A 9,080-nucleotide genomic window follows, 5' to 3' on the forward strand; every position below is an offset into this window, starting at 1 on the left:
GTGAGCCGAAATCATGCCATTGCACTCCAGCCTGGGCAACAAGAGTGAAACTCTGTCTCAAAAACAAACAACAAACAGACAAACAAAAACAAAAACAAAAACAAAAAAAAATTTAGCACACTAGACATCCTTCCATATCTTGCTTTTTAAATTTGCTATATCCTGGAGACATTTTTTTTAAATCATTTTGAGAGCACCTTCATTTTCCCAACTGTATTGTATTCTATTTTGTGGCTGTATGATAATTTACTAGCCAGATTTTAGAGATGAACACATGGTTGGTTTCCAGTCTTTCCAATCTTATTTTTAATTTCCAATCTTATTTTTAAACGAAGTCTTGTGAGGGAGCTTGATTGATGCCAAGCTGTTCTGGTTAGAGGAGATGATGGGTGAAGCCAACCTCCAACTTGCAACCTCCACCATCCCTGCCAGGTCTTGGAAGAACTTCATCAGAACCCTAGGCCTCCATGAAACACAGTAAAAACTATGATCTTGTCCTCATTGGCTCATTGTATAAATGTGAAACCGAGACTCAGAACAGGAACAAGACTGATCTGAGACCACAAGGTTAGCCTGCGGCAGAACTGGAGCTACAAACAAGATCACCTGGGCTCTACTCACTACACTATACATATTTCATCCTCAGGAGTCCCAGGCCAGGGCTCTGGGGCCAGTTGACTAGAGTCGAAGGCAGGTCTTTCTGTGGACCCAGCCATGGACCTAGCCACAGACTCAGCCATAGACTCACCCATGGACCCAGCCATATACCCAGTTATAGACCCAGCCATACACTCACTCATAGATCCAGCCATGGACCCAGCTATAGGCCCAGCTATAGACTCACTCATAGACCCAGCCACACTCCCAGCCATAGACCCAGCCACGGACTCAGCTGTGGACCCATCCATAGACCTAGGCATGGACTGAGCCATAGACCCAGCCATGGATCTAGCCATATACTCACCTATAGACCCATCCATGAATCCAGCTGTGGACCCAGCCACATAAGCCATAGACACCTATAGCTCTTGAGTCATAGACACCCATAGGTCTAGCCATGAACCTAGCCATAGACTCACCCATAGACCCAGTTGTGGACCCAGAAGTCAACCCAGCCATAGACCCAGCCATGCACCCAGTCACAGATTTAATTAATTAATTAATTTATTTATTAATTTATTTATTTTTGAGACAGAGTTTTGCTCTTGTCACCTAGGCTGGAGTGCAATGGCATGATCTTGGCTCACTGCAACCTCCGCCTCCTGGGTTCAAGCCATTCTCTTGACTCAGCCTCCTGAGTAGCTGGGATTATAGGCACGTGCCACCATGCCCAGCTAATTTTTGTATTTTTAGTAGAGACGGGGTTTCACCATGTTGGCAAGGCTGGTCTGGAACTCCTCACCTCAGGTGATACACCCTCCTTGGCCTCCCAAAGTGCGGGATGACAAGTGTGAGCCACTGTGCCTGGCCCCCAGACACAGATTTAAGTGTAGATCCAGCCATGCACCCAGCTGAAGATCCTGGATCTGCCTCTCTCCCACTCTGTGCTTTCATTTCCTCTTCCACTGCTTAGATTCAGTGGCTTCACACTCCCAAAAGAAAGGGCTTTGAGTTTGCAAAAGGAAAGATGAGCTACCCAAACTGGGTGAGACAATGAGGGCTGCTGCTGCTGAGCTGGACTCTTAAGAAATGGAAAGTCAAGAGTGTGTAGGGATAATAATGTCTGGGAGACCTCAGACTTTGGAGACACGTGTAAGCGATCTGTGTTTTTGAAAAGAATCGCTGGAGACCCTGAACATATACACACCTATTATGTATCAATAAAAAAATAAAAAAAAAGAATCACTGGGGAGTTTTACAACTGGTAAGTGACTAAGTTACTTAGGAAATACATTTTATGAAAGAGAAATATGTTTTCCACCAGGCAAAGGATGGGGCAGAGAGAGAGCCTAATTTGGAAGGATTTAACCAATAAACAGGATCTCAGTAGGCCAAGAAGTAGACAAGCAGAGAGAAGTGGGGCCAATTTACATCTGAAAGACAGAATCTCCAAGACTGGCACAATCCAGGAACACAAGGAAGAGATGGGGTTTGGGGGAACTAGGGGTCTCTGCCACCACCTATCCCCAAATCGTAGATGAGGAATCTGACTCACCAGTGGTAAAGCCACCTCCTTGGGGTAACGAGGCAGGTTTGCAGTAGATTCAGGATGGATATGGTGTAATCCCAGCCCCAAGGTTGCTGATTCCAACCTTGTAATAAGCAGGGGTCCGCAGCGGAAGCACAGCCAGCCTGGGAGCCAGGAAACCTGGGTCCCGTCTTTGACTCTGCTGCACACAGGGTGACTCTGGACAAGGCATGCCACCTTCCTGGCATCCAGCTTCACCTTCTTCATGGTGAGACGGCTGGACTCAGTGAGGCTTTTAAACGTTCTTTTGAGCTCCAAAGTGAGGGGCCTGGACCTGGGCCTTGGATTTGTGACAAATAACCCTTAATCCCTCTTGGGCAGGGAGAGAGGGAGCAGCCACCTCCACGAACCCCAATTTGGCCTTAACACATGACCCTACTTCATTTGGGAAGGGAGACACGGACCCAGCCTTGCTCCAAGATACAGCATCATGGACAGTCCACAGAATAAAATCAGAATAAAGTTTGGCTTTTAAGTTTCAAAGCTGTTATCCTAGTGCAAGTCTGGAAAGATCTAGGAGCGGTGCTGCTACCTGGGTGGGGATTTTTCTGGGCAGCGTGAGTGGTTAGTAGCTTTCGGGCTGGGGAGGTAAAGGAAGTTGGAAATGAACAACGGAGCTGTGGCTGGATGCTGATGTGGGAAACTATCTTTGCATCCCAGGGGAGGGGTCATGGAGGGATGAGGATGATGGGCCCCCTTTTAAGGGCAGGAAATGAAAGAGGAGGGCACCTATAGCAGGACCTCTGAGAAGCAGCAACCCTGAGGATGTGCTCAGGATTGGGGTGGGGTCAGAGGCAGCAGAGTGGAGATGGCTGGGGGGGAATCAGTCACAGAGGCCCCAAGGCAGCCCACCAGCATCTTGGGATCCAGGAGGGATGTGGGAGTGTAGCCATGCTATGAGGAGGGCCTGGAATGTAACAGAGAGGAAGAACCAGGATCCTGAAGGGGTTTCGAAGTCGTAGCAGAGGACATCACAACAAGACTCACAGAGACCATTCCTTTGGAACTCACAGAATATCCCAGGTCCCTTGCCCAAGATAGTTCACCATTGAGGGGTACAGTTAGGGTCAGACCTCCCCAGGGGGTCCCAAAAGTGGGGGTGGAGGACAACAGCACCTCCCCTAGCCTGCTCCCTCCTCAGGTAGATCTGGCCTGTTCAAAGGAACTGTTTGTGGAGAGGTGCCCGCAGGGCTTAAGGGCCAGCTTCCTGAGCATGGGCAAGCCTCCAGTCATTAAGGGCTTTGTCCCTTTTGCTAATAATAACCTTGAGGAGAAGTGTGGCTGGAAAGAGAAACACACAGCAAGCCCCAAGGCCAGGAACTCGTAAGGCTCCATCAGCTTCCCATTGTGGGTGCAGCCCTGGAGCTGCCTGGCCTCCCAGTGGCCACTGCCAGGGCATGGGGTGCAGGGCACCGGTTATGACAGAGGTTTGGGGGTGTCACACTGTCCATCTCCCAGTTTGTTCCCTACAACTTCCCTGACCTCACCCTGTGATTTCCAGATAAGGCTAAAAGACAACTTGGGATACACTTAATGACACAGAGAGGGGATCTGGAGAAGGAGAGGCATGGGAATTTCAGCTGTGTGATTCTGGGCAAGGCGTGTACACTCTCTGGGCCTCCACTTCTTTTTTTTTTTTTTTTTTTTTTGACAGTCTTGCTCTGTTGTCCAGGCTGGAATGCAGTGGTAGCCAATCTTGGCTCACTGCAACCTCCGCCACCTAGGTTCAAGTGATTCTCGTGCCTCAGCCTCCCGAGTAGCTGGGATTACAGGCTTATGCCACCACACCCAGCTAACTTTTGTATTTTTATTGATAGTAGAGACAAGGTTTCACCATGATGATCAGACTGGTCTTGAACTCCTGACTTCAAGTGATCTGCCTGTCTCAGCCTCTGAAAGTGCTGGGATTACAGGCATGAGCCACCACTCCCAGCCTCTGCGCCCATATTTCCTAACTGAAAAGCAGGACGGTTCCCTGGGCTTCCCTAACAGTCCCTTTTCCATTCTAATCTGTGAGCATATAAATGATACTCTCATTAAAGTACATCCCAGATGTGGATGAGTCCTACCTGTCCAGCAACTACACATGTTGGACTCAGGATACGCGAGCCAAACGATAAAGGAGGGGAAAAGAAAGGAGGGAAGAGGTGCAAGATGGGCAGAGAAGGAGGAGGTGAGGTGGAAAGCTCAGTGTTACAAGGAAGCCAGGGGCATGGAGGAAAGCTGTGAAGGGAGGCAGCTCTGCGTTTGATCCAGCTCCATCACTTACTAGCTGGGTGACCCCAGAAGATCACTTGAGTCCGGGAGGTCAAGGCTACAATGAGCTACAATTTCGCCACTGCACTCCAGCCTGGGTGACAGAGAAAGACCCTATCTCAAAATAAAAAATAAAAAAGACTATACTTTTCACTTCTAGAAATTCATCTTGGTTTCCTAGGGATGCTGCAACAGAAATTTATGGCCAGGCACGGTGGCTCATGCCTGTAATCTCTGCACTTTGGGAGGCCGAGGTGGGTGGATCACTTGAGGTCAGGAGTTCGAGACCAGCCTGGCCAACATAGTGAAACCCCCATCTCTAGTTAAAAAAGAAAAAAAAAATAGAAAAATTAGCAGGGCATGGTGACACACACCTGTAATTCCAGCTACTTGGGAGGCTGAGGCAGGAGAATCACTTGAACCTGGGAGGCAGAGGTTGCAGTGAGCCGAGATTGCACCACTGCACTCCAGCCTGGGTGACAAAGCAAGACTCTTTGTCTAAAAACAAAACAGAAATTTGTTCTCTCATAATTCTGGAGGCCAGAAGTCTGAAATCAAGGTGTTGGCAGGACCATGCTCTCTCTCTCTCAGGGTCTAGGGGAGAATTCTTTCTTGCCTCTTTTAGCTTCTAGAAGCTCTTGGTCCTGTGGCTGTGTAATTCTAGTCTCTGCCTCCTTCTTCATGTGGCCTTCTTTTCTTCATCTCTGTGTGTCCAAATATCTCAATCTCTCTGTCTTTTCTTTTACAAAGACATTGGTTCTTGAATTTAGGGTGGACCTTAAATCCAGGATGACTTCATCTTGAGATCCTTAACATATGACATCTGCAAAGACGTTAATAAGGCCACATTCTGAGTTTCTCAGTAGACGTGAATTTTGGGGGCACACTCTTCAACCCACTATAGTTTCCCCTTTCAAATCTGTTTTTTTTTCGTGGTGTCTTATTCTAGTATGTTTAATCATATTAAGTTTTTTTTTGGCTTTGGTTTTGCTGTCTCTCAGAGATTGGCGTTCTGTTCATTGGAGGTCTTCAGCTCTCGTCCCTCTGACCCTCACTCAGTGGACCGCTTCCTCATGGGTAGTGTCATTCAGTTTTAGCAGGACTCCTCTTTCCCATGAGAATTCCTTGCTGCCTGGGTTTTTGGAGCAACCATCCAGAGTACGTTTGCATCTCCTCCTATTACAGGGCACTCCAGTCCAATCACCTGTTGGGTACTCATTTTGTTAGTTGCCGGGTCCATCTCGCAGATCCTGGCCGAGCAACAGATGAAAGGAGTACTCAGACACAGGTATGCAGTGTAAGAGCAGCTAGGGGACGGCCAAAGAGTGAGCAGTCCTGATAAGCTGGAGCTGCTTGCTTTTATTCAGTATAGATATAATGCCAAAGCCTGGAGCCAACACAATCTTATGTTAATGTGGGTAATTAATATTATTGTTTCCCCTTATAGGGAGCAGTCACACACAGATGATCAAAAGTGAGTTTCTAGACAACATGAGTAAACAAGCCTATTTAGATAAATTCCCCCACTCCCTTGTACCTACTCCTCGCCCTCTGCCTCAGGGTAAGAGAACAGCTGCCTTCAGCTTCTTCTCCCCTGAAACTTTGCAGAACCTTCCGACCTTTCAGAAGTCCTGCTCCTTTCCCTATAGCTTCTTCTACCACTCTATCCACTCCTCCACATCAGGCTGGGGATTGTTGGACCTTAGATTTTATGTACATTTTGAAAGAGCAGTCCTAGGATTTTGATTTCTCCTGTGGAGACTTGCTTTTTTTTTTTTTTAATCCAAAGATCATGTGAGGATGAATATGCAGCCCTGTCGTCTCCTATTGCTGATAGGCGGGATTTTTCCTTATCTAGCTTTGCTCTGAGGCTGCAGACTCCTGTGGTCCTGGCTTTACAGAAGTGTCTCTGGTCCAGCTTCTTGCCTCATGCCATCCTGAAGCTTCATTTCCTGACCCATGTGGCCATAAAGACCTCACCTCTAGAATGCCAGGCTCAGTTCTCCCTTCTACGTCTTACCCAAGCATCAGTAACATCAACTCTGCCATTTATGATCTATGGGATCCTTGAGTAAATCATTTAATCCAAAAGCTCCTTCTCCTCTTTTTTGCCTTGTTAACTCTAACTTTTCCTTTAAGGTGATAACTCCAATATCACCTCCTTCAGGAAGCCTTCCCAGATTCCACCAGCTCCATCTCCCATGGCTTCCAGACTCACACTTCTGATCCTTCACCCTACTGTGGAGTGGCATGGTGTGGCCAGGACACCACAAGCTCCTCGATCTTCCCAAGAATAACAGTGAGGCAAAGAGAAAGGGAGGTAATGAAGGAGCAGCAGATAGGGCCAGCTTGGAGGGCCTGAATGCCAGGGAAGAAGTCAAATTTTTGCTGTCGGTGATGCTACTTCATTGAAGTTATTTAAGATTGGGATGTGGAGGGTCATTCCATCAGATGTCCACTTTTGAACTGTTATTCTGCCTGCTGGAAAACAGGAAAACAGCCAAGAAGCTGGGTGGCCAGTTTGGGGGTAATTTTACAGTCCAGGTGTGTGATGGTGGGCCTTGAGCAATGGCAGCTTGGGGATGGAGGGTGGGGGCAGATTTGTGAAATACTCAGGGAGCAAACATCCAAAAGTCTTGATGGTGTGGAGGGGCCAAGAATGCCAGACATTCGAACCTCCCAAGAGCAACTGCAGCCTTACTTCTCTCTCCTGCTCCCTTAACCATCCTCAGGGCCCCTCCTGGGTGCTCCCAGCACCCTCAGAGCACCAATACACCGAGTGTTTTGGGTAGGAAGTCTAAGAAAGGCTACACAAGCTGAGGCTTCAGAGAGGAGGACTTGGCTCCTGCCTCTGTGGTCTCCTGGAGGGGCCTCCTCGAATAAATGTATTCATCCTTCTCCTACCTGTGCCTGGGTGCTTGGCTTGTATGTTTCAAGATGGTTTGAATTTTTTCAAAAAATTAAAATTCTCTGACAGGCGAGCCAATCCCGGTGAATGACCACACAGTGAAAGGTGACAAGGGCTTCTTTCACGGGCCCCAGCTGCACTGAGCAGGCTGGGCGGCTGGAGGGAGCTCTCCATGAATCAGCCTATGTTAGAAGGTCAGTCTCTTGAAGCTTTGCTCTGCCCCAGGGCGTCTGATTGAACAGAGGCAGCAGCATATATGATGACACGTGGCAGGGGAATCTGTGTTGTCTTGAGTGACAGACTCTCCCTTCCGTGATTACTGATTTAAGTTATACATTCAACCAACTCTGTTGTGTCCATGTTCTGCCAGGGACTGTTCTAGCCCTAGAGACCCAGTGGTGAGAGCAGAAACCAGGTGCCAGATGACAAATACATCAACAAGCACCATAACAAGGTAACTGTGGGTGGTGATAAGCACTACAAGCGAAACAAAACAGGGTCTTGGGATGGACAGTGGTGGGAGGATGTTACTTTGGGAAGGGTCCCTCTGTAGAGGTGACATTTCAGCTGAGAGCAGAAGGGCGAGAAAGAGGTGGCCATTTCCCAAGCAGAAGGAACAGCTTGTGCAAAAGCTTTGAGGAGGGAACAAGCTGGCCACGCAGAAGAGAGCTGTGGGATTCGGAGAGCTAAGTGTGTCCATGGAAACAATGAGCATCGGCGATCGAATGCGACAGGAAGTGAGTGAGCCCAATACGTGTGGCTCCATGGTTCCCCAGTGATAGGCAACCAAGACAGCAAAAGGTCTGGAGATGGAGGCAAATTTGAGGTATGAACTGAGGGAGGCTTTATTTATTCATTGATTAAACAACCATTTACCAAGTGCTTACTGTGTGCCAAGCATTAGAGACTTAACAAGCCAAGCCCAGCTCCTGCTCTTAAAGGGAGCACCTAGCTTAATGCAGAGACACTTAGGCTAGAGAATGTGATAGGAGGAGACCCAAGCTCTGCAGAGGACTCTCCAGTATAAAACAGATTGGGTTTGCTTCTGTGCCACTCCAGAGAGGACGAGCACCCCCCAGGGATGAAAGTTGCCTGAAAACGAGATGGGCTGCCATGCAAGATAATGTTGTTGGAGCCTTCCAAGCCAATGCTGGTGACTACTCATGAGGGATGTTGTGGATTGATGGTTCTCAAATGTTGTTCCATGGAACACTGGTCTCTCAAGAGGCTCCATGAAGAAAGAGTTCCCTGATCATATAAGTTTGAGAAACACATCCTGCTATATTCTCCTTTCGGTAATTTGATAATGCATTTGAGATCCCAGGGAGTCCTGCAATATAAAAACCTGCTTAACTTTTTAGCCCAATGTTTCTCAGAAGTATTTTTCTCTGGAATTCCTTTATACTTAATGCTTGTTAATATCGAAATATCCTGCAGGCCTGGTAGGATACAGAGCAGAGCTTCTCAAACTGTCTGTGGTGAAGGATCAGGGTTTTGCTTGTTTTTCGTCTGTCATAAACCTATACTTTCTTAAAATAACACAAAAACGAATTACTAGAAAAAATAAAGACATGAAATACAAATCTAGATTTTTATTAGATTTAATTAACATAAGAAATACATTTCTGGCTGGGTACGGTGGCACACGCCTGATATCCCAGCACTTTGGGAGGCTGAGGAGGGCAGATTTCTTGGGCCCAGGAATTTGAGACCAGCCTGAGCAACATG

General features: G+C 47.6%; 1 annotated feature.

Annotated features, from left to right (window-relative positions):
- Nucleotides 403-462: an enhancer, noted in NCBI's record as "active region_10035". NCBI's record gives its function as "activates an Ori minimal core promoter by ATAC-STARR-seq in GM12878 lymphoblastoid cells {active_cell/tissue: GM12878}" and the evidence as "EXISTENCE:reporter gene assay evidence [ECO:0000049][PMID:35858748]".

The sequence above is a fragment of the Homo sapiens genome, chromosome 15, assembly GCF_000001405.40.
Source record: "Homo sapiens chromosome 15, GRCh38.p14 Primary Assembly".
In the NCBI taxonomy this organism is placed as follows: domain Eukaryota; kingdom Metazoa; phylum Chordata; class Mammalia; order Primates; family Hominidae; genus Homo; species Homo sapiens.